Source organism: Homo sapiens, chromosome 4 (genome assembly GCF_000001405.40).
Source record: "Homo sapiens chromosome 4, GRCh38.p14 Primary Assembly".
Classification (NCBI taxonomy): domain Eukaryota; kingdom Metazoa; phylum Chordata; class Mammalia; order Primates; family Hominidae; genus Homo; species Homo sapiens.
This window is the reverse complement of record NC_000004.12, coordinates 168,613,792-168,639,040: the sequence shown is the minus strand read 5'-3', so window position 1 is coordinate 168,639,040 and position 25,249 is coordinate 168,613,792. Positions and strand designations below refer to the sequence as shown.

Below are 25,249 nucleotides of genomic sequence, written 5' to 3'. Positions count from 1 at the left end.
AGGTACAAGATCCTTATGGGGAAGTATCTGCTTCTGAGAGAAAGGTGGGGAAGAGAATGTAGGATGTTCCAAAGAGGAATGTGTGGAGTGGGAGAGGAACATGAGAGGGGTCAGCAAGCCACCTAGGAATAAGGACAGGAAAAAGAGAGGAGACGGTGGAGTGTGAATCGGGGTAAGCTGATTGCTATGGTCTGGATGTTTATGGCCCGCCCCCCCTCCCAAATTCATATGGTATTTAGGAAGTGGGGCCTTCTGGGAGGTGATTAGGTTATGAGGGTAGAGCCTCATGAATAGGGTTAGTGCCCCTATAAAATAGGCCCAAGGGAGCTAGTTAGTTCTTCCAATACGTGAGATCACAGCAAGAAGGCACCATCTATGAACCAGAAAGTGGGCCCTCACCAAACACTGAATCTACCGGCACCTTCACCTTGGACTTTTCAGCCTTCAGAACTGTGAGCAATAAACCTCTGTTGTTTATAATGTATCCAGTTTATGGTACTTCGTTATAGCCGCCAGAATGGACTAAACTATGGATTAAGATGAAGCTTTAGCTAAGGGACTAAGCAAAGGACCTGATCTAGACTCAGAACAGCTGAGGAGACCCCCTGGAAGGCCTGCCAGGAGATCAACTGCAACTTGAAACCAAGAGGACTGGGGCTGTACTCAGGTAGGACAGGGCCCCAGTTCTTCAGAGCCCTGAAGGTCTGAGAGCACAGCTTTGCCTTGAGACAGCCTTGGTTTCCGCTTTGTCTCTGTTACTTAGTAGCCATGTGATCTTGGGCAAGATGCTTATCTTTGTGAGAATATAGTTTCCAGATAATAAAATAGGGGTAATATATCTACTTCATAATATTTTTGTGAGGATTAAAGGTGGTTATGTGCTTGACACATAGTAAGTGAGGATAAACTGCTGTGATTCTGATTTTGGCTTGGGAATGGAATTAAGGCAGAATAAAAAGAAACATCTGTGACCTTGTGGTTTACAGAAAAGCCTGAAATTGGACTCCTTTTAATAATGATGTAAACTGTTACACAGCATGCTCATCTATGTTTCCCCATTTGATCCTCAGAATTTTTTTTTTTTTTTTTTTTTTTTTGAGATGTATTCTCCCTCTGTTGCTCAGGCTGGAGTGCAGAGGCATAATCTTGGCTCACTGCAACCTCTGCCTCCCAGTTTCAAGCAATTCTCCTGTCTCAGCCAACCGGGTAGCTGGGATTACCGGTACTCACCACCATGCCCAACTAATTTTTGTATTTTTAGTACAGATGGGGTTTCGCCATGCTGGCCAGGCTGGTCTCAAACTCCTGACCTCAAGTGATCCACCTGCCTTAGCCTCCCAAAGTGCTAGGATTACAGGTGTGAGCCACTGCGCCTGGCTAATCCTCAGAAATATTTAACTTTGAAGTGGCTATTGTTAGCCCATTTCACAGATGAGAAATCAAGACCCAGAGTAGGAAATGCCTTGTCTAAGCTCTGTAAGTTGTAGAGTTGTGATAATTACTTGTCTTCTGATCTCAGTCACTACTTTTTTTTTTTTTTAAATAAAAAGTAACATCTATTTCATGGGAGTGACATAGGAAGAACATGGAGCCAAATCAGTTTTTAAAATTATAACCGGGTTAGCTGAGCAATGTGAGACTGAACTTGCAACTTGCTGTGCTTGCTGGTAGTTGTCTACTGGTAGTCCCTTGTCCTAGAAAGGTTACTAGACACTAACTGGTACACCAGCCGGCTGAGAACTGTGCTGAGAGAGAAGGGAAGACTGGAGTGGGGCTCCTAGGCACCGTCTTCAGGGAGAAGCCCCTTTCACTCCCATTCTGCCACCAACCCCTCCGATACAAGCAAAGTAAGGCTAGATTAGCATAGCTTTCTGCTTGTCACACCTGCTGAATGAGCAGGATTCTGCCGTTTCTATCTTTAAGTAGAAACATTACCACTGATTTGTAGTCATCGCACTCTCCAGGAGTCCTTAATAAACTTTAAGATCATTACTGAGTCACTTAGCTCTTCTTTTCCTCTTCACAGAGTTACCAGTTTTCTGATCTCTCTTACAGACTTCCTTTCTAACCAGCAAAGCATGCTTGTGACTCTCCTCTCCTACTTCAGATATTGATCTCAGGGCTGAACATTCACATCCAGGGAGGCAAGACTCACTGCTTCTGAGCCCAAGAAATGGATCACCCTGCTGAGCACTGGCTCTGTAGCTCCTCGTTTCTTTCTCACTCCCAAATGCACTTGGACACTCTCTGGGGCCCTTTTCTGCACTGGGACTGTAAGAAAAGGGCTGATATTTTCTTTTCAAAATAGTTTAGATAGAGTCCTTCTGGAAGCAAGGAATATGACTAAGTGATTTCTTAAAGTCCCTTCCAGCCAGTGATTCATCAGACACAGAATTTTAAGCTGGAATGGCCTGTAATTTTCTGGGCCAAATGTCTCATTTTTGCAAATGAGGAGAGTGAGTTCTATAGAGGTTGAGAATTGTGAGGGCTGCTTGCTATGGTGGACAGATCATGAGATTTGAAGTTAGAAGTTCTGGGTTTTTTTGTTTACTTTCTGGGACAGAGTCTCATTCTGTCAGTCAGGCTAGAGGGCAGTGGCACAATAGTAGTTCACTGCAGCCTCGAATTTCTGAGCTCAAGCGATCTTCTCGCCTCTGCCTCCTAGGCAGCTAGGACTACAGGTACCCACCACCACACTGGGCTAATTTTATTTTTTGCAGGGATGGGGTCTCACTATGTTGCCCAGGCTGGTGTCAGAACTCCTGGCCTCAAGTGATCTTCCTGCCTTGGCCTCTCAAAGTGTTGGGATTACAGGCTCATGCTTATGAGCCACCGTGTCTGGCAGAAGTTCTGAGTTTGAGGTCAAATTCTACCACTCACATGCTTTGTGACCTTGAGCAAGTCATTAACCTCTAGAGCTCCAGTTTCCATACTTGCAGAATGGAAATAACGCCACCTGCCCTACCTGCTTCCAAATGTGGTTCTGATGATCACATGTCATATTTGGGAAGGAAATGATCAAATGTAATACAGTGCTTTATCAATGTTACATTACTAAATAGCTGGTTCAAGGTCACATAGTGGCAAAACCAGGATCCTCAATTCCAATGTAGTTTGATTTCCATCATACAATGTTGCCTTCTTGACATTTTTCCAATTCTATAAGATTTTCTCATCAGGTGCCACACTAATTTGGTCTCCACATGTTTTCCTTTAAATCCCTGGACACACACACAGACTCAAACTGCGGGAATCCAGGCTGGCTCAGATGGATCACAGACCAGCAACCATGAAGGGTTGGTGGGAAGATCTCAGGCCTTCCATTACATCACAGTCATGGCCCTCAGACCCTGGGTTGATGGCTGCCAAGGGACTGGGCATGCTCACAAACATGCTTTCCATGGCACTTCTCTAGCTAGTGTCATAACACCGAATTGCAAGTTGGAGCTGGCTATCTGATAGCTTGTAATGGACTATTAGACTATGGCATATGCCTTGAGGATTGAAATAGGATGAACCTGAGCCACAGAGTGAAGTGATAATAGATACTTTAAGTTCATGCTGGACAGAGATTTGGGAACCTGTTCAGAGGTAATAGGTGGTTTACTGTGCCAGTTTGTGGTAGCCCACATAGGAGAGGCAGGAGATGGCTGCTTAGTCTCACAAACGAAGTGTTGCACCCAAGTGTTATGTGTTCCCATGGACCGCTAATGAGAAGGAGCCCCTGGTCTCTGAGCCCTAGCATCACCATTCTGGCATTGGAAAAGATCGACCATGCTTTATTTGGCCCCATTATTAATCGTAGGGTATATTGAACCCTTAGGAGGTTGAGCAAAACCATCTCTCCCAGTCAACAAGAGACATGGATACACTGTCAGTACTGATATGCTGTGGCCCTCGGGTACCCTGGGACAGACTGGCCCTTGTCTCTTTCATAACTGATGGCTTCCCAAGCTTGACATGAGAAAGAAACCTTCTTTCAGTTATTGGAGAGAGTTGGGTCTCTTCTCTGGCAATGGTATTTGGCCCTTGAAGAGCACAACAGATAAATCCTACGTTTTCCTGTTTTCTTTAAACATAAAAAGCTTTTCAAACTTTCAGAAATAATGGAGAGGTCAAGCATATAATAAATAGGGAGTACAGCTCTTCGCTCAGAGCAATAAAAATGAAAAAAAGGGAAAAAACACTGTGAGCCAGTTCAGCCAACAATTTCCATGTTTAAAAAAAAAGTTCAAGTTGGAGCCATGTGGTCTCAATAAAGTAGTAAAATATATTTTCTTTACGCTACACTTCATATGCCCATAACCTTCCTTTTAAATCATCTCTAACCAGCCCCAAATCACTCTGACCGCAAATCATTTGGTGGCTTTGGTCTCCAGGCGATGGAATGTGCTGGAGTAGACGGGGAGTCGCTACCAAGTGCGCTCTGAGGGAGCCTCCACTCCCCTCGCTCAGGCACACAGACCCCAGCAAAGCTTTGAAAAGGTTCTGCGCTGAGATAGCACATGACATCATAGCCCAATCATTCAGGAAAAAAACTGCAAGGCTGCAGAATAGCACAACATGCCACAAACCACAGTGGGCAGATAAAGTCGAAGAACAGCTTTTCTTACGAAAACATTCACAAATACCACAGGCAGCTGGCAGAGGCACGTTTAATTACATTTACAGAAAAACCACTGTATCCATTAGCCCCACCATCTTTGGGGCTGACCAACAAATGGGAAGGTCACTGAAGCCCATCTTGGAAATTGAAAAGCCAGGAAAGCTCGAAGTTTATGTCATTACATTTTATAATATGTGTTACGATTAGAAATGACCCAACTGTAAAATCACTTGATAGGCTTTGAAAGGACGTCCAAGTGAACAAGACCTCAATCATAACCTATCTTTAAATGTACAGCTGAAGATTAAATGCAGCCCAAGGTGTGAGAAATCAATTATTCAATTCATGATTAATTTAAGAGACACCGAGCTTGTTCTGAGCATAAACAAAGCTCATGCAACTGCCATCTGCCATCACATCACAGGACCCAGTCTTGTCTCTTGCAAGTGCCATTGGAGCTTTTGTTTATTTATTATTATTATTTTTTTAAGAAACTGTTCAAAGAGCTAAGTATACAGACTTTGAAGGGATGGTAAATGTATTGGATGTCCCTTTAGGCACCTCAGAGAAACAAAGTTCAATATGCATTGGCAAAGTATGATTAAAGCTTGATGGAAAAAAATTGTCCAAATAAAAATGCTATTTTACAGAGTAAACATCATCTTACAATAATTGCTTAAGTGGGAGTTTTAAAGAAAACTCGGCAGAACCTTCCATGAGACAAGAGGGATGTGTCTAAAAAGTCTCTTGTAGTTTCTAATTTTAGCCCTAGAGAGCAATCATTGCTATTTCTAGTCTGTGATTTCATTTAAATGAAGGGAGATTTTCAATAGCAAAAAGAAAAGAAAAAAGACTCAGAAAAACCATACAACAAATAAACAACAAATGTAAACACTGTAGTGATCAAAGTAGGTCTCTTTCCTAAAGGAACAATGAAAAATTATATAGTAGCTATAGACACTCATGTCTACTAGTTATGATCTTTTCAGAAACATGTTATTTTATAGCCTCCTAAGGTATCTGGCAACAATCTTTTCCATCAGACACCCAAGGATAACTTTCCATTTCAGTTGGGGGTGGGTAAGCTCAAATGCATGCTCATAACATCTTCATGTAACCCCTATAACAACCGCGGGGGGAAATGTAAGAGTCTTAGGTTACTGAAAATAACCTGTTTGCCATTATACGGGCAATTATAAGCTGGAACTTGCTTTTTTAAAATTGCTGGGTTCAGCAGAGATTTCCCATGGATTTATCGGCAACAGAAATAAACAAGCATTCCATTGAGCTCCACTTGGAAGTGTGAGAAGGGCTGATAGAAAGTCTTTTTCATCATGTGGACAGGAATTCAACTTAACCTACTAGGATGTTAAATTACACTCCAATATCCTGATGATTTTCTTAATCATCAGAAAGCTGAAATCATGCTGGTCCCTTGGAGGACAGCCCCCTTCTCAGGGGGTCTTCCCCGCTGCCCCTCTCCTAACATTCCATCACCCCTTTCCTTGTCAGTAGCCTACCTGCCAGTGAAGTGAAAGGTGACTTCAGCATTCTGGGGGTGTTCAGGTGCCAGGGTCTCTATGCTTGTAATGCAAATAGATTAGGGGAACTCTCTCTGTAAAAGTCATGCTGGTTACTTCTGGATTAAATAATTTCAGGAACTCACCAAAATTGAATATTTATAAGCGTCAGCAATGCTTTCCATAAAAACTAATGGAGAATGTCAGTTTTTCAGTCTTTCCATGGTAGAGGAGTCATCAGGAATGCATTCTTCCCTATTGTATTCTGCCTGCCACTTGTTCCCTAAGAACCACCGCCAACTGAATGCTAACAACAGGGACCCCGTCCAAAGGGAGAGGAGAACCGGGAAAGTAGCATTGGATTTGGTTAGACAAAGAACTGCAATCAAGTGAAACCCAAGAAAACAAACAAACAAGCAAACAATTTTGAGGCAACTGAAAAGCAACAGGTGTGAAAACGCCCAGATTTCTCATGGGAAAAATCACCAAAACCTTGTGAGAAACAAAGTGTTTCCAGCTAGACCTCATTCAGCAACTGAGCAGCTCTTAGGCTGTCAGAAATTGATTGCTTTGTGAAAGTTTCCTTCTATTTCAACCGAGGATGGAGCCGATTACAAAGTAATTAGAGAAAATACAAACTCATTGGGCTCAAATCGCAGCAGGCAAGTTAAACACATGAAAGAGAAGCTTCTCTAAAAGTATCATTTTTTTTAATGGAAAAAAAAAAGGGTGAGGTGGGTAGGAGAGATTATTCAACCTCACGCCTTTCTCCCCTCCCCCACCCTAACTCCAACAACAGAAAAGTCCCGCGAAGCAGGACCCGCCCCCGCCAACCCCCAAAGAGGAGTCCGAAGAAGGGATTAGGAAAACCGTGGCGGAACACGGTATTCTGAGTCCACTACAACTAAACACCCCAAACAGTACTCTTCGCACGAGTACTTGCATGCCACTGCCTGGAAAGGCTGCAAAGCTTTATTTCCTCCATGTCTGCATAGATTTAATGCTGCCACTTACCAGTTGGGCGCAAAACGCCGTCTGCCCCCACTCCCAAACAAGCTCCTCTTGGGGGTCTTTCAGATCTCGCTTATTCCCAGCTTGCAACTTCTGGGCTCTGAATGCGATCTCGTTTGCAGAATGCAACGGAGAAAATTAACTGGCAGCCGCGCTGCCAAAAGGCCGGCCCCTTGCCTGCTGCGCTCGAGAGGTCCTGGGCCCCGCCGGCTCCCGGGAAGCCTCCTGGCGGCGCAGCGGCCACGACTCAGGCTCGGTGAGAGGCCGCCGGTCTCCAGCGCGCGAATGCGCCGCGTCTCGCCGAGGGGCGCGTGTGCGCGGAGTGTGTCGGAGTGCCGGGCTGCTGGGGAGGGGGAGAGGGTGTGTCCTGGGGAGGAATGCTGCTAAACTCCAGAAATAACTCCCTTCACTCCATGCTCTTATCGCACTTAGGACGGCTTTTGCGTTGCCCAGGGGCGGGGGGAATTGTAAGAAGGTAACAGGCAAGTTCCACCGGCGATTTCTAAAGCCACTCCCCATTCAGCTGTGGTTTGAGGCATTCCCTAAAGACCTCTGTTCATTTAGGAAACGTTGCAGCTCTCAAGGGGGGAAATCCAAGAAGCAGCTAGTAGTGAATTTGTATTACTGATAAAAGAAATCAACGTCCAGCTTGAGGTTCCTTCTGTACCCTTCCACACAAGGTATCTTTCAGTTGTACTCTCCATCTGCGTTACCTCTTGTGAGTTAAATTGCTCCTCTGATGCCGCCTTACTGCAAAGCCATAAATTAATTACCCCATTACAAGTAAGCCCCTAGGAAAGGGAATGCCAAGAATAAATCTGGTCTTTGTTCTTTTTTATGTTGAACAAGTCTGCCATTAATCAAGTCTTTCCACCAATGTCTAGGGAACAGACCCAAGGTTGCGACTCATTGAGGGATGAACATGTGTACGTCTGGTTGTCCTGCAGTCTTTCTCTGCGGTATTATGTCATAGTGACTCAGTTACCACACAGACGGATATCAGGAAGAAACAACAGGAGAAACAAAACCAACCGTTTAATAAAGACCTAGCTATTTGCCAACTCTAAAGCCCCTGGCAGACAGTGCTTAATTTTTACACATTTTTAAAGATTATTTCACTACTTCCATCTTCCAGTCCCAGAACTGCTTGTCATTGGCCAGTCTGAGAAACAGACCACAAACCGTTTGAAAATTTAAGGAAGAAACTCATGAGGGACCCATGAAGCTATTAATTTTAATGGAGCCTATGAAATATCAAAGATGTGACAGATTTTTGAATTAGAAACCATATCAAAAAATGCGTTCCGGAAATAGAATCATCTTGAGAGGTCAATAGTAGAGATAGTGCAAACAGTATTTTTTGAAGTGAAAATAAAATGTTAAAAGCGTTCAGTGTATATATCTTTAGTTCGTATTTATTATCCCGAGGAAGTGGTGAGTCATGAAATATTGAATTTTTTCTTCCTTATTAAATTTTCCGCTCTTTGGGAATCAATGTAAAGTTAATAAGGATGAGGTTGCTTTTCAGACTGAAAATATTCTGGGGTTGACAGGTTCAGTCCCTTCTTGTATGTCATTAGATCTTTTTATTTATTTTTTTCCTCTACACTTCAGTTGTAAAGTTTTATTAGGGTCATTGAATAACAAGAGCCGAATACTTCGTTTATCTGAAAGGCATCACAATGAAGCAGGGTGGCCCTGTTGGGTGAGTCTTGCTAAGACACATTTCAGATCCTTACCACCTTTCTCATCTCCAGCAAGGGTTCTTAGAAAGATCTTTCCTCTGTGAATTAGGAAGGACATTGTATTAATTAAAATGCCTGGGCGAAAGAGGAAGGAAAAATTTGGAGGGTTTCAGTATATGATCACCATGAGCGCAGAAATCTGAAGAAGCCCCTCCAACTACTTTCGCTAAACCTGTGAATGTTTAGAAGTCTGAAATTTAGTCTAAACACCCAACATATATAAATGTCTTAGACAGAGAGGACACTCCTTTTACTGGTCCTGCTTGCTTGTGGGGATGAAACTGAAGGGTAGATGAAATTTCTGCTGTTCTTCCACACAAGGAGGCTGCCTTTTGGGTGGCAGCTGTTAGTGGTGTCAAATGTTACTGAAAACTCTGCCATTAGTTTCTGTGATGTGCCTGCCCATTTGCTTGTGCTCCAAATGAGAACTATCCCAACGTTACGCGGTTTGTGGCGTTTTGGGGTCAGGAGAGGTAGTGGTGACAGTGATTTTTGAGGGTGATCTACCCCACCCAGGAAGGGATGGGAGGGTGGGGGAGCTTGTTGAAAATGCAGATTCCCCTGAGCCCTGCTCAGAACTACTGAATTACAATCTTTGGGAGCTGACATCAGCTTTTATTTTTCTTTTGTTAATTTAATGTTTTGAATAAGTAATACATTTACATAATTTATATAAAAGTACATGCACCACAGTCTCCTTTCTACCACTCTTCCCCATATGCCCAGTCCATACATCTCCCTCCAGGTAACCACTGATAATAGTTTTCTCTGTAGACTTCCAGGTTTCTTTTGGCCTAAATACATTCTTACACTTTTTCTTTATTTCTTAAAAATACTATAGGCAGGGCCGGGCACGGTGGCTCACGTCTGTAATCCCAGCACTTTGGGAGGCTGAGGTGGGCGGATCACCTGAGGTCAGGAGTTGGAGACCAGCCTGGCCAACATGGTGAAACCCCATCTCTACTAAAACAAAAATTAGTTGGGCATGGCAACGGGCACCTGTAATCCCAGCTACTTGGGAGGCTGAGGCAGGAGAATTGCTTGAACCCAAGAGGCAGAGATTGCAGTGAGCTGAGATCGCGTCATTATACTCCAGCCTGGGCGACAAGAGTGAAACTCCATCTCAAAAAAAAAAAAAAAATACTATAGGCAGAACAATAACTGGGCTTCGTCTTACATCTTCACTTAAATACATATACACTTTATAGTCCTTTCCACATTGTATGTTCATTAATTCATTTGTTTGGAAACAAACACCTGTTGAAGACCTACTTCATGCCACAGACTATTGTGTATGTTGGTAACACAGCAGGGGACAAGCTGACAAAACTTTCTGTCCCTTGGCATTTATATCTTGGGCAAGGGGCACATTAGGCAGAAAACAAACATACTAAACAAGTTAATTCTGTGTTGAGTTAGGACATAATAAGAGCAGTTGAACACACTGAGCAAGATAATGGGGGTTGGGGATGTCAGTGGGGAATTTTAATTTAAAACGGAGCGGCCAGGGGCAGCTTTCTTGAGACAGTGACGTGTGAGCAAAGACTTGATCATGGTAAGGGAGTCAGTGAGCTTTGGGATTATTTGGAGAGTATGGTGATCCAGGCAGAAGAAGCTAGTGCAAAGGCCTTAAGGAGGGACCATGCCTAGCACGTTTGAGGAACAGCAAAGGGGACAATGTGGCTGAAACAGAGAAAGTGAGATGTAGAATGTCATATGAAGTCAGAGAGACAGGACAGCCAGATGGTGTAGGACCCGCTAAACCAGTGTAAGTATTTCAGGACTTACCCTCAGAGCAACAGACAGCCATTGGAGGGTCTTGAGAAGAGGACGGACACGATGAGACTTACATGCATATCAGTGCAGAGTAACCATGCCTGTGTTTAATGTGGCATAGCATTCCCTTGGATAAATGCACCACGATTTATTCAATCAGAATCCCACTGATAGACATTTGACTTGTTTCCAATCTTTTGCTATTAAACAATGTTACAAACGTCCACACATGACATTTTACACTTGTGCAAGTTTATCTATAGTATTAATTCCCACAAGTGGGATTACTGGATTTTACATTTTGAATTTTGATAAATACAGCCAAGCTGCCTTTCAAAGGGCTGAACCAATTTACACTTCCACTAGCAATGTTAAATGGTGCTTGTTTCCCCACGGCCTTGCCAGCAAAATGTGCAATCAAACTTCTGGATGTTTGCCAGTCTGATAGGTGAAAAGTGATGTCTCAAGATAGTTTTGACTCGCATTTCTCTGATTTTGAGTGAGGCTGAGCAAGTTTTTTATATATTTAAGAGCCAATTCTATTTCCTTTGTTGTGGCCTTATTGTTTATATAGTGTTCCCATATTTTATTGGGTTCTTGGTCTTGTTCTTCAGTTCTTGAAACTCCACGTATGTTAAGGAGATTATCCCTTTGCGTTAGGAGTTTCAGATTGTTTTCTCATTTTGCCGTTTGTCTTTCGACTTGGCTCTTGATATCTCATGACATTAAAAAAGTTTCTAATTTTATTTAATTGAATTTATCAGTTTTTAAAAGAGTCATAGATAGGCCTGTCTTATCCTATATACTCTGATTTTATTTTTGATATTTAGGTATTTGGTCTATCTATCTATTTATCTATCTATCTATATGTTGGAGACAGAGTCTCACTCTGTCACCCAGGCTGGAGTGCAATTGTACAATCTTGGCTCACTGCAACCACTTCTTCCTAGGTCCAAGTGATTCTCCTGCATCAGCCTCCCGAGTATCTGGGACTACAGGTGCACGCCACCATGCCAGGCTAATTTTTGTATTTTTAGTAGAAATGGGTTTTCGCCATGTTGGCCAGGCTGGTCTCGAACTCCTGACCTCAGGTGATCCACCTGCCTCAGCCTTCCAAAGTGCTAGGATTAGAGGCATGAGCCACCGTGCCTGGCCTGTTCATTTATATTTTATCCTGGTTTAGTGTATAAGGTATTAAGGTATGGATCTTGCTTTATTATTAATGATCCAGTTGCCCCACTACCACTTTCAAAAAGAATAATTTTTTAAATGTTAGTTGTTGTTAAAAAACACATAAAATATACCATCTCAATCATTTTTAAGTGTACAGTTCTGTAGTGTTGAGTATGTTCATGCTGTTGTACAAAAGATCTCCAGAACATTTTATCTTTCAAAATGGAAATGCTGTACCTATTGAATGACTTTCTATTTCTCCTTCCTCCAAGCCCCTGGCAACCACTGTTCTTTTCCATGTTTATATGACTTTGACTGCTTTAATCACCGCAAATCATACAGTATTTGTCTTTTTGTGACTGACTTATTTCATTTGGCATAATATCCTCAAGGGCTCATCCATATTGTGGCATGTGGCAGGATTTTCTTCTTTTTAAGGCTGAATAATATTCCATTGTATGTCTATACCACATTTACTTTTTTTTTTTTTTTTTTCCTGGAGGCAGGTTCTCACTCTGTTACCCAGGCTGGAATGCAGTGGCATAATCTTGGCTCACCACAGCTTCAATCTCCAGGGCTCCAGTGATCCTCCCACCTCAGCCTCCCAAGTAGCAGGGACGACAGTCGTGTGCCACCATACCCGGCTAAGTTTTGTAGTTTTAATAGAGGCATGGGTTTCGCCACGTTTCCCAGGATGGTCTCTATCTCCTGGGCTGAAGCAATCCACCCGCCTCTGCCTCCCACAGTGCTGGGATTACAGGCATGAGCCACAGTGCCCAGTCACCACCTTTTTTTTTTTTTTTTTTTTTGAGATGGAGTCTCGCTCTGTCGCCCAGGCTGGAGTGCAGTGGTGCGATCTCGGCTCACTGCAAGCTCCACCTCCCGGTTCACGCCATTCTCCTGCCTCAGCCTCCCGAGTAGCTGGGACTACAGGAGCCCACCACCACGCCCGCCTAATTTCTTTTGTATTTTTAGTAGAGACGAGGTTTCACTGTGTTAGCCAGGATGGTCTCGATCTCCTGACCTCGTGATCCGCCTGCTTCGGCCTCCCAAAGTGCTGGGATTACAGGTGCCCGCCACTACGCCCGGCTAATTTTTTTTTGTATTTTTAGTAGAGACGAGGTTTTACCATGTTAGCCAGGATGGTCTCGATCTCCTGACCTCGTGATCCGCCTGCCTCAGCCTCCCAAAGTGCTGGGATTACAGGCCACTTTTTCTTTATCTATTAGCCCAACAGTAGATGTTTGGGTTGCCCACACCTCTTTGCTATTGTGAATAATGCTGCTATGAACATGGATGAGCAAATATCTTTTTGAGATCCTGCTTTCATTTCTTTTGGCTATGTACCCAGAAGTGAGACTGATTTCGATAGTGGCTGCACCATTTTACATTTCCACCAACAGGGCGCATGAGTTCCAATTTCTCCACACCCTTGCCAACACTTGTTACTTTTTGTGTTCTTCATAGCAGCCATCTTAATGGGTGTTAGGTGATATCTCATTGGGGTTTTGATTTTCTGTTCTCTAGTAATTAATGATGTTTAGCATCTTTCCATATGCTTGTTGGCCATGTAAATTTCATCTTTGGAGGAATGTCTGTTCAAGTCCTTTGCCCATTTAAAAATCAGGTTATTTTTGTTGTTGAGTTGTAGGAGATATATATATATATCCTGAATATTAACCCCTTATAGGATATATATATATATATCTCCTGGATATTAATCCCTTATTGGATATGTGATTTGCAATTATTTTCTTCTGTAACATAGGCTGACCTTTCACTCTGTTGATTTTGTCCTTTGATACACAGAAGTTTTTAAGTTTGATATAGCCCCATTTGCCTATTTTTGCTTCTGTTGCCTGTGCTTTGCTTCACCACCACTTCATGATAATAATCTTTTACCCTGTTTTGAGATGCTATTATCATCATCTATTAAATTCCTGTGTATAGCTGAGTCTATTTCTGGACATTATATTTCCTTGGTTGATTTTTTTTTAGTTTGGGTGCTACCGCCACACCAGTTAATTATCAATGCTTTTAATTTTTAATATTTTCTTAATATCTAATATCTAATCACTTCTATTATACATTTAATATCGTTTCTCATTGCTCTTCTCAGTTTCCCAGTTTTCCTTATTGTTTTTCCATATAAACTTCAGAGTAAACAATAATAGAAACTCTTATTCCTGTTTGTATCATCAGAATTAAATTTAAATAATTAACATAGAGAAAGTTGACTTCTTCATGTTATCAAGTCTTTCTAGCTAAGAAAAAGGTAGATCTTTCTATCTGTTCAAATCTTATTTTGTGTCCTTTGGGAATGTTTTACAGATTTTTCATATGTGTCTTGGACATGTATTAAGTTTATTCATAGGTATTTTATCTTTGTTATTACTATTGTAAATGGGGTCTTTTCTCTCATTACATCTTCTAGCTGGATATAAGCAACTAATTACAGTGTATTCCTTGTGTGCCATTCTATCTTACTCATATTGTTTATAAATATTTCCCAATTCTCTTGTATTTCTAACTATATAATGTAATCTAAAAATAAAGATTAACCATCTGCTCTCCAATTTTTATACTTTTAGTTTCTCTGTTCAAATTTCATTATCTATTAGGTCTAGTATGATGTTAAATAACAGTAGTAAGAGTGGGCATTCTTGTCTTATTTTTTATTTTAATGGAAATGGCTTCAGTGATTACCTATGCCCAGTGATTCAGGGCATGATGTGGGCTTTGGGATGAGAATGATCTATTTTATTATGCTAAGAGAATATTAATTTGTTCTTAGAAGCTTTTTTGCGGGGGGTGGATCAGGTGTGAGTATTGACTTTTGTCCAAATGCTCTTTTTGGTATCTTTGGAAATGATCATATATTTTTTTCTCCATAGAGCTATTAATTTAATGGGATATAATAAATTTCTTGGCCATGAATTATTCTTGCATTCCTACAACAAGCTCCATTTCGTCATGGTAATTACTTTTTTTAATGTGCTAGTGAATGCTGTTTGCCAGTATTCATTTAGAATTTTCTGTATCGATATTGATAACTGAGATTTTGATAACAATTTTTTGTTTTATTGCATTGTGACCAAAAATATTATTTGTAATGTTTCTATCTTTTGGAATTTGTTGACTTTGTGGGCCTTGCCTATGGTTAATTTTCATATATGTTTCCTGACCACTTGAAAAAATGATGTTAGATAATATGGAGATATTTTCAGGATACAGAGTTGAATAACATGTATCTTATTATGTTATGTCTTTTCCGAACTTAAGATATGTTGACTTATTTATCATGGACTGAATTTTCATTTCTGTCTATTTCTTCTTTCCTCTTCTGTAATTCCTGCTTTACACAGTGGCTACTGTGTTGTTTGATGAATGTGTATTCATAATTGCTGTAGCCTCATTTTGAGTTTCACTATTTAGCATTACAAAGTGCCCCTTTTCTTACTATATTAATTTCTGGCCTGAATTACACTTCACCTGAGAGTAAGGTCATAACCTTGCTTTTTCAGTTCCGTTTGCCCGGTATGCCTTTCCTTATGCGTTCACACTTAGGCTTTCTGAACCACTGTGATCTATGTGTGTCTCTCTTGTACAGGGCTTCCTTCTGTTAGGCAGTTCGCCGCCTCCATCCTCACCTACCCAGTCCCTGCATCTGTGATTGCTAAACCATGGAGATAGCTTTCTACCATTGCTCTTCAGAGCAAGTCCTGCATCTTCAGGGGAATAATTTTTCCCTGGTGCTTTGTGAGATGCCAACACATAGTTTGCTTATGTGAGCATTAAAGTGATATTTCATGAACCACATGTTTGTATTTGTAACTTAGGCTTATAATTAAAGTATTATTTCAGGAATCCCTGTTATTTCTATAATAAAGTAGCTTAAACAACTACTTCCAGATTCAGGTTTAGAATAGTTATTTAGGTGGTGATACAAATAGTACCTTGGGCAGCCTGACATGTGATCTCTTTGGATCCTTCAGGTAGTACTGTGAGTTTGGCAGAGCAGGTATCCCCAATAAACAGATGGCAGAGACTGAGGTAAGGTTTCCAAAAATGTGTATTTTCTCATGGTATCTTATACAAGTAGATAGACAATTTAGCTTTCATGTATACAATAGAAAGGCCTTGATGTAGATATTTTCTAAGGCTCAAAGGACAGAGTGTCAATTCAATAATAAGTACCTTGATAGTGGGCTTAACTCTCCTATGAAAATGTTAATGCTGTTGAAGCACTGAGGGTTTACTTAGGGAGGCTGTGGAATCTGCGTCTCTGGGGAAACTTCAAAAATAAAAGGGATCCTCATTTCTTTGGAACAGCTTGAGTGTGGTCTTGCCCCAAGGCACGGGTGACTGGATAACCTCCAGTGTCCCCTTCCTCTGGAATGCTTCAAAGGACATCTCAGAGTGTCTGGGTCATTCGCTTTCTAACTTAGGCACCGGAAGTATGATCTGTCAGGAGATTGTTATCGATATTCAGATTTAAAAGCATAAAGTGGTTATGTAATAAGATGCTACCTAATGGAGGAATTTAAGAAAGGACCTGATTACAGCATAATAATGCTACTTCTCTTTTGGGCTTAGGGACAGGGAGATTGCAATCAACTTCAAATTCCCTCATGTTAAAGAAAACATACGCGTTTCCACATTTCTTTTCTTCTGGGCTGAAAGAAAAAAGGGGGAAATACATGGAAATCTTTCACATTGAGACACTTCAGGAGAATGTTTTCTTCTAACCAGAAATCCCCAGGTTGTCCTGAAACTCAACATCTGAATCATGCCGACTGGTGAGAGACATTGTTTGAGCAAGACTGGAATTCTGAACATTCTTCAAGGCTTCATAAAAATCCCAAAATGATGGACCAGTGCTTATGTTGTGGTCATGCAAAGAAAAGCACCCTCGTGATTCGGGATTGAGTTTGTTCTTTTTATATTTATAGTATCTACACTGGAGGAATGTAGAATTTGGCATAGGGAGGAGGATGGGGAAAGTGAGGAATGGAGACCAGATTTTGTCTGCATGTGAGGGGCTGTGTGTATGTGTGTTTTGACCCAGAGCCTATGGAATAGGGGAGAGGGAGTATTTGATAGTTTTGTTCATTTGTTTTTAAAGCAGAATCTTCTTCAGGTCTCTGGTGCGAGGAGTGACTGGAAGAATTTTTTACTTTCCTTGTTAGCAGCACCATCTGTTTACAATGAAAGCTTGGCTTCCACTTTTTGGCGCAAATACAAACCCTAGGGTGCCCATATAAGTCAAACAGAAGAAGCATGTGTTCGCAGACCTGAAGAATCAGGTCTTTTGTGTGCAAAGGACTTTTACGGTAGATTTACACAGCATCATATCCCTACATAAATTCAGGAGGAAGCTTCTGAGAAGCAAAGGTGGGTCATAGGCCACTGGAATTCACAGCTTGCTTATCTGCCGCCTAACAAAGTGATGGACCCCTTGGGTCACACCTGCCAAGAGAGAGGTTGGCAAATGGCAAAAGGGCCATTTAGTAAAATTCCTTTCATCACTTACGGGATTTATATACATTTGAGAGAGGGACTTACATACCAAAACAAGGAAATATGGAAATATGGTAATATGGTCTTTACAAATTCCAGATAGAAAGGCATATTTCCATAAACAGCAAAGCTTAAAGTAAGCAAATGAGAAAAATTTCTAGGATTAACTATCAAGACTGGGGTGGTGGAAGGAGTAAGGAGCTGAAAATAGGAGCAGGGCACCTTTTTTCTCACTCTGGTTTGTGTCACGTAGCGGCCCCAGCGGGAGTTCCATAGATCCTCATTTGCGGGCTAGGGATTTTTACCCTCTCTCCAGAAATAAACTCTAGATAAGGATTTGTAAGACAATGGCAACAGTGAATAAACTGTACATCTGGAAAAGTTTTAGTAGTGATGAGAGAAGTTTTGCGTAATATAATTTGCATGCCATAGATCAATCAAGTATTGATTCATTGTTTATTGAGCCTTCCCTCTGCTAGGTTGTCTGGTGGAAGCCTAGGCTGAACTTTCAGAGGTTTATCAATGGCTAGGGAAGAGAAAAATAACACAAAGCAAACTTATAGTCATTTGAAACAATTGGAAAATAATTAAATATGCATCTGCTAGTCTGGAATTGCAGTTTTCAAGTTGTGTGCATCAGATCAAATGGGTCTTGTCAACGTGTGGATTGCCAGGCCCCACCACTTGGATTCAGAGGGCCAGCACAGGCTCTCTGTATTTTAAACAAGTGTTCTCAGCTATTTGATGAAAATGAACTTCAAAGCCTACTTTGAGAATCACTAGCTTAGAATATTATATTACTTTATTTTAAAAGAAGTGGGGGAAAGTAACATTTGTTGCTTTTACTACTCATACTTTTTGCATATACTGTGTGGCTTAATTTTGAGGTATAGACCCATGGTTTAGCCAGAAATTTGGTGAGGGTCTGCATCTGAAGTCTAGGATCTTCCATTAACAAGCATGCTGCTGTCTTTTCCCAAAAGGACAGAAAGTCAGGGTGTGTGAGGCTGGCCGCACAGACTAGGGTGCCATGTGTTTTGTCCCCTGGCTTGTTCCTTAAGCCAGCCTCTACATAGTGCACAAAGTTATCTATCAAATGCAAATCTGACTGTGGCATAATATTATACTTTATTACCCTGTGATGTATTTTTTTCACTGAGCACTATAATTTGGACATCTTTTTGGTTGAGTTCCCTGGTTTTTTGCCCAATGAAGGGTAATTTTTTTTGTTTTTTTAGACAGCATCTCACTCTGTCGCCCAGGTTGCAGTGCGGTGGTGCGATCTCAGCTCACTGCAACCTCTGCCTCCCGAGTTCAAGCGATTCTCCTGCCTCAGCCTCCTGAGTAGCTGCGATTACAGGAGCGTGCCACCACGCCTGGGTAATTTTTGTATTTTTAGTAGAGACAGGGTTTCACCATGTTGGTCAGGCTGGTCTCGAACTCCTGACCTCGTGATCCACCTGCCTTGGCCTCCCAAAGTGCTGGGATTACAGGCGTGAGCCACTGGGCCCAGCCAGATAATTTTTTATTGAAATACCATTAAAGCAAACACAAAATTAAGTATCATTAATCAAGCCCATTAATGACATTTTTAGCATGGGGCTGGGGTGGTTTGTGGCTTGGAGTCAGCTGATTTTGCTCTGTTCCATGTCAGCAGGTTGTGCGTTTGCCCACTAGTCTTAAACATTTACATTGTGAGTCAGGAAAATGTGTGGACCAATTTGCACAAACTCATCACTACTATTGGAAGAGCTTAAAGTGCAGACTTTACTGACCATTGGCCAGGAGAACTATGCTTTTCACTGGGGACAACCATTCTAGTGACAGTTAAATCTGATGTTTTAGGAAACCTTCAGGAGACTAGGTTTGGGGTGGATCCAGACTCATGAATTTAGTCCTTTTAAGGAATTCACTAGCAATAAGAAGATACAGAAGTGTCAGTCCAAGCCTCGAACATTGTGTATGTAAGATAACCCTGGAGCTCGTCATAAGTACAGACTCCCCCATCACTGTCTTCCTCCAGCTGTTAAGGATCCATAGATCTGAGTTGGTTCTACTGAAAGATTTCCCACCACAGTATAAGAAACAGTTGATCTCCAAACTTCTCTAACTACAGTTATCAGCCCAACCTGAATCACACAACTCTTTCCAGACCAGGCACCTGAAGAGCCTCCTAACTGGCTATCCCTACAACAGCAGTGACATCATCTTCATGTGCAGGTTGGATTAGCTCAGTTCCCTGTTTAAAACAGCTAAGTGGCTGCCTATTTCAGTTAGATTAAAAGCAAAAGTCATTTAAATGCCAACCAAATGACCTGGCTGCTGCTTCCTTCTCCAGCTCCTGCCAGCTCCCTTCCACATTCCAGCCCACTGGGTTTCATTCAGCTCCTAATCCATATCAGCCCCTTCACACTTACATGGCCTTTGCACCAGTTCCTATCCATCCTCCAAGTTGCCAAGTTATCTCGCTTCAGAAACTCTTCCTTCAGCCTTAGACTCTGCTTTCCTACGGCTTATCAAAGATATGTGTGTCTTTGTACAAAGTGGATCTCCTGCTGAAAGGTGACCTCCGTGAGCATGTTCCTATTCACAGCTCAGTGCCTGATACAGACCTGGCCCAGTGTGGACACTCAGAAAAGATGGAGCCAGCAGGCCTCGTCATGGCTCGGCATCCACATCCTTTAAAACTGCACATTACATGTTAAACATCTAGATCTGATGGATGTTGAGTGTGATAGAAATTATCACTGCCTTCTAGAAGCCTGAAAGTGTTACAGAGAGGATCCATGTGGAAGAAAAAATGTACTGTACTGGGATTTATAAGGACCTAATCGGTGACGCCAGTGAGGAGCTGAGCGGGAGGGAAGCTTGTGAATAAGTAAATACATATTTGATAGCAGTCAGTATTTTCCTTGGAGGGAAGGACTCATTCTTGTGGCTGGGCAGCAGTGACAGGTGGCATTTTTGATGCCTGATGTCATCTAAGAGCTTCAGACTATGATGGACTAAGTACAGCCTCCATGCTATGCACAGCCAACCTACTTGAAAGTGATTTCTGCATTTCCTCCTAATACTTGATTATAACTGGCCTTTCAAAGCACTTGCCTTTTGTACAATGAAAGGGGTTAAATAGAGACTAAGATGGGTGTGTAACAAAATTTTTTTAGATGCTTCGATATATTATTCTGGTGGCTTACCTGTACGAGTATGGCCCTTACAACCCTAGAAAGTCAGCAACTGGAGATGATCGTGCCCAAAGCTTCTCTACCCAGATCCTCCCTGAAGTTGAGATTAATTGGCACAGAGAAGATTTACATGAGAGAGTTTCTGCTATCCCCAGGAATGTAGCATGGAGTCTGAATATGTAATAAAACCATAGAAAGTTATAGTTCTTTATAAATTCCAAATTATATGATTATTACATATAACTACATTGTTATTTCATTCACTTATCTCAGTTATCATCTGAGGCAGATGAGTTCCTTTCTACAGAAAAGGAAACTGAGGCTTAGAGTATAAGCGACTTGGTTGAGATCATCCAGCCAATAAACTAATCAGAGGTGGTAGGACTGGAAGCTACCTCTCACTTCGTAGTGGCCTCTTATTCCACTTCCCTGTTCTCATTGGTGTTACTTTATTTTCTTTCCTAAGAAAAATATAGAACTTTACTGATGATTTCTTTGCAAAGCAAGAGCAGGGACTTCAAAATCCTATTTAAACATCTCTCTTTCTCTCTCCAAAACTCAACTGCTTACAGTATTTATTTCTCAAGGTGGAAGAAAATCAGGTTCTGGGGTAGCTGGTGGAGGGAGCTTCATAACTACACTTCCTGATGTTTCATTTTCTTTCCTCTTACAGTTTTCAAAAATAACCATCATAATATTTGCCATTTATTGAGAAAATTTGTTATTGAGATGCCAGACTTTACGTATAGCATTTAAGCCTCATAGTAAGTCTTGTATGGTTGGTTTTCTAAGTCTCCTCGTTTTATAATGTTGGACACTGAAGTTCGAAGGAGTTGGGCAATTTACTGAAATGCACACGAAAAAGTGAGGGCCCAGTATTCAGACCCAGGGAGTCTGACTCTGCCTATAGTCTTTGCTCTTCATCCCCTCATTATACTCTCTTTAATTCTAATGATTGCATAAGGTTGCAGATAATCTTCCTACTGCTTGACTGGCCGGCCCCTAGTCTTGTTCTGGTGACCCAGGAGCTGCAAAGGCTGTGAATCTGCAAGCATGGAAACCCATCTCCATATCTCATCCCCCACAATGGACTGCTTGCTTATAAGAAATCAGCTTATCAGTACCAGGCAGGTTCTAGGATTATGGAAGAAAAAGCAGACATTTTTTTTCTTGGAGTCTATATCATTTAGTTTAGGCTTAGCTGCACATACCGTCTACCCTACTCCATTCCACAACTGAAAACAAAACACCAAAATGAGAGACTTACGAATTAAACCAGGCAGACATTTATTTCTCTATCGTATAGAAGAAATGGAGAGTTGGGCTATTTGGGCCTGTTATGGCAGGCTCATTGTTGTCAAATTCTTTCCCTTTTGCTTTTTAGTATGTTGCCTCCTTTCTAAAATGGATGCTTGAGTGCCAGCCATGATGCCCCGATTCCAGCCAGCAAGAAAGAAGAAGCAGGAAGCAAGTGCGTGTGTCAATTAACTGTCTTTTAAGCTGCTCACAGCACTTATGCTTGCATCTCCATGGTGGCCTGGAACCATAAAACGGACATACCTAGCAGTAAGAGAGTTGTGCCTGGCCAAGACTTAGGGGCTCTATTACTTGAGGCATGAGGGCAAAGCTGGTCTTGGGGTAAACAACAGCAATCCTGCCAGTCTCCATTCTAGAATCTCTTATGACATCACAGTAGTCATTCCCCAAACTTTAGGGTCTTAGGAATTGCCTGGGAAGCTTGTTAAAAATTCAGATTCCTGGAGCCACTGTTAGAGATGCTGATTTAGCAGACTTGGGATGGGGCTTGGGAATCCTTATTTTTCTCAAGCACCCTACCTGCTCATTTCATTGATTTTGAAGCAAATGCTTAGGGATTTGCCTCCCACTTGAGAAATACCATATGGGATTCCAATCAGAAACCAGGAGTAGAGAGGCCGAGGTATGAGAAAACCTGGTGAACTCAGGTAAGAAAATAAATTCCATCTGTTTCTCCCCTAGTGAAATTATATACATGATCTGGCCTGCTTCTGTAGTATCCACAGTGGAGTTCCCTGACTGAAAGAAGTGCAACTAAATTCTCCTTTGTCACTAAAGAGGATGAAGTCAACAAATAGTCTTTTAATTTGATGAACTACTCTACTCTGAATTACTTTTTTATATTTTTAGAATATAGGATCCCTCCTTTAATATTTTTCTGATGTAGATCTACTTATCCTTAAGACCCAAAATGAGAAAAGGTTTAAGCATCTCCAAAGATGCATGCAGCCATTCAAATTCCTTCTCTGTGCGATTCAAAATAAAACAAGTTAGAGTTAAAGAGAAGATAGCGTGGGGAGTACTCAAAATGAAGGCAGGATAGCTCTGATGACAGATTTTTTTTTGGTCACAAAATTAAAGTTGACTCCTTGAATACAACCCAGTTTAAACTCAAGGCCAAAAGGAGTATGTAAAACATAGGCAAAAAATACTGTCACAATCATCAAAACCCAAGGATGGCTTAAAAAAGGAAAAAGAAAAAAATGGGAACACTACCATTCCTTCCTTAACAATCATGTCATAAATAAGCTTTCCCAGCTAGCAACAAACTCCTTTCATCTACAACTTGAAGGCAAAGACCTCATAAATTGACTGGGGTATTCTTCCCCTGTGTGACTACAAGGCAGGGATTATTTAAAACTGAAGGCTCCTACTGATAGGTTTTTCAGAAGGAGTCACTGGTGGGATTCGGAATGGTTACCCTTCATTGCTTTGGTGAGTGATACCTCAAAGATAATGCAGGAGAAATTACAAGCACCCCCCTTGGCTGGGGAGGCAGCAACATCGCCTTTCAGATGTCACATCAGACCCCTCTGAGATGGGTGCTGAGGATCCCTTGGTGGAACTGGCAAGGTGTGGGGACACATGCTTTTGATTATCTAAAGAGAATGAGTATGAAAACAAAACCTAATCCAAGAAGGAATGTAAATCCTGTCTCTTTGTGCCCCGTTGAAATGTAATGTCAGTACTTAAGAATTCCTTTTGCCACTAAATGGACTCGGGCCAGATACTGACACCCAGAGCCCAAGTTCTGTTATTTTCCTTGTGAAATTGTAAGGAGAAATGTCTTCATGATTACCAAAGTATGTGTGGATAGATGGTAATGAAGATAAATTGTTTTTCCCTTGCCTGATACCCGAGCCCTTTGTGGTATATGCCACAATGTAGCTGTTACAAAAATCATATTTATTTATATGCTGTTTGGGACAGAAAGTGTGTGAAACTGAAGCATGAATGTGATTTCTATTCTTAGTACCTTTTGTATGAATTTTTTAATGTAATGCTTTATAAAGTTTTTTTTTTTTTTAACTTACCATCTTTCCCAGGAACGAGGGCAAAAGTACTCAAAAAATGCATTGCAAGAAATATGAGCTAAACCCTGTATACAGCAGTTTATTCCCTTAGCCTATTTCTTTAATCATGTAACCCTAATCAATGAACCTCCTAATATCCATGCACTGGGGCTTATTGGCTCTAGCTATCCCTTGTATTCGAGGAATCTTCTGCCATTGTGTTTTAAATACCCACAGCCTATTGGCAATCTTGCTGCTGTTGCTTTTTATTCATGGTCTTAGTCTTGGGATATTCAAATAACTTACTGAAATGTTACCATCCCACACTGATGTGGTTTACCGTGCAGGACTGGGGAGGAACGCATGCTTTTGGAAAGAAGAGAAGTCTTTGTTATTAGGATTGATTTCATTTCATTGTACTTTTGGCTGCCTTTTCAGCATTAGGTTCTTTTCCTGTGATTTTTTTTTAAATAGTTAATAGAGAAAAATATACCCAAGTTAGTGGATGGTCTAGGGACCTAACTACATCTGGAAGTTTACATGAGCACTGAGAGTCCACTATGCAAAAGCAAAGGCAAAATGATACCATCTAATAAACACTTGTAAAAGTATGCATGATACTTACAAAGTATTTTTTTTTAATCAGAGTCCCATTTGTTTATTGCTGCTTTATGGTTTTTCAAATTGGAGAAAGCTATTTCAAACATGTATGATACACATAAGAGCAATTTCCAGATACAAAGAAATCTTTGGCAAAAAAACATTGACTAGGCCAGCCAGTGTGGCTGCTCTCTCCCTCTCTTGAGCTGGGAGCTGTTGTTTTGGGCACAAGGGTCTCCCTAGCGCAGCATGGTCACTGACATAGGCCTTCCTTTAATTTATTACTATTATTATTTTAAAAATATGAGTGACAGAGTCCACAGTGTCTTTTTAAAAAATAATACAATCCAGGACTTTTTAGAAAAAATGATTAAGACCAGTAGAGTGCTCAATATGATAGAGAAAAAAGACAGGAGGCAGGAATCCAGCCAAGAGGAAAATACACTTTTCATTTTCTTCCTGAGACTGGAGATTCTCTGCTAAAGTGAAGGCGCCATCCACAGAGTTACATCTGATGGACATTACTTATGACATGACTTAAGCAGAGAAAGAACAGTCGAAACCGAATTCTCCAGCCTTTAAATGAATTCCCAGCTACAAACCAGAAGAATAACACTATTAGGTCTGGAGGGCAGCAGGATGTGGAGCTCTACGACTCAGATTTCTTTTCACGATGTTGGCATGACTTTGTAGGATCTATGTATTATTTATGTGGCACCACTACCATGTTTTTAAATACTCTTTGGATATACACCCGTGAATTAGTTTAATCGAATTCTCCCAT

General features: G+C 41.3%; 1 protein-coding gene and 1 long non-coding RNA gene across 15 annotated transcripts in view; one reads left to right on the top strand and one right to left on the bottom strand.

Annotated features, from left to right (window-relative positions):
- The window catches only part of PALLD (palladin, cytoskeletal associated protein), a 431,390-nt gene that overhangs the window by 289,401 nt on the left and 116,740 nt on the right, over positions 1-25,249 (bottom strand). For 2 of the 14 annotated variants that reach the window (XM_024453939.2, NM_001166109.2), the window contains exon 1: positions 7,141-7,463. The exons of the other annotated variants lie outside the window; for them this stretch is intronic. The gene's annotated coding sequence lies outside the window, so the exon portion shown is untranslated. Of the gene's footprint in view, positions 1-7,140; positions 7,464-25,249 lie in introns of those variants that run through there. 14 annotated transcript variants of the gene reach the window in all.
- The window catches only part of LOC124900807 (uncharacterized), an 84,414-nt gene continuing 81,591 nt past the window's right edge, over positions 22,427-25,249 (top strand). Inside the window, exon 1 of the long non-coding RNA XR_007058359.1 lies at positions 22,427-22,500. This is a non-coding gene — a long non-coding RNA (uncharacterized LOC124900807). The remainder of the gene's footprint in view (positions 22,501-25,249) is intronic.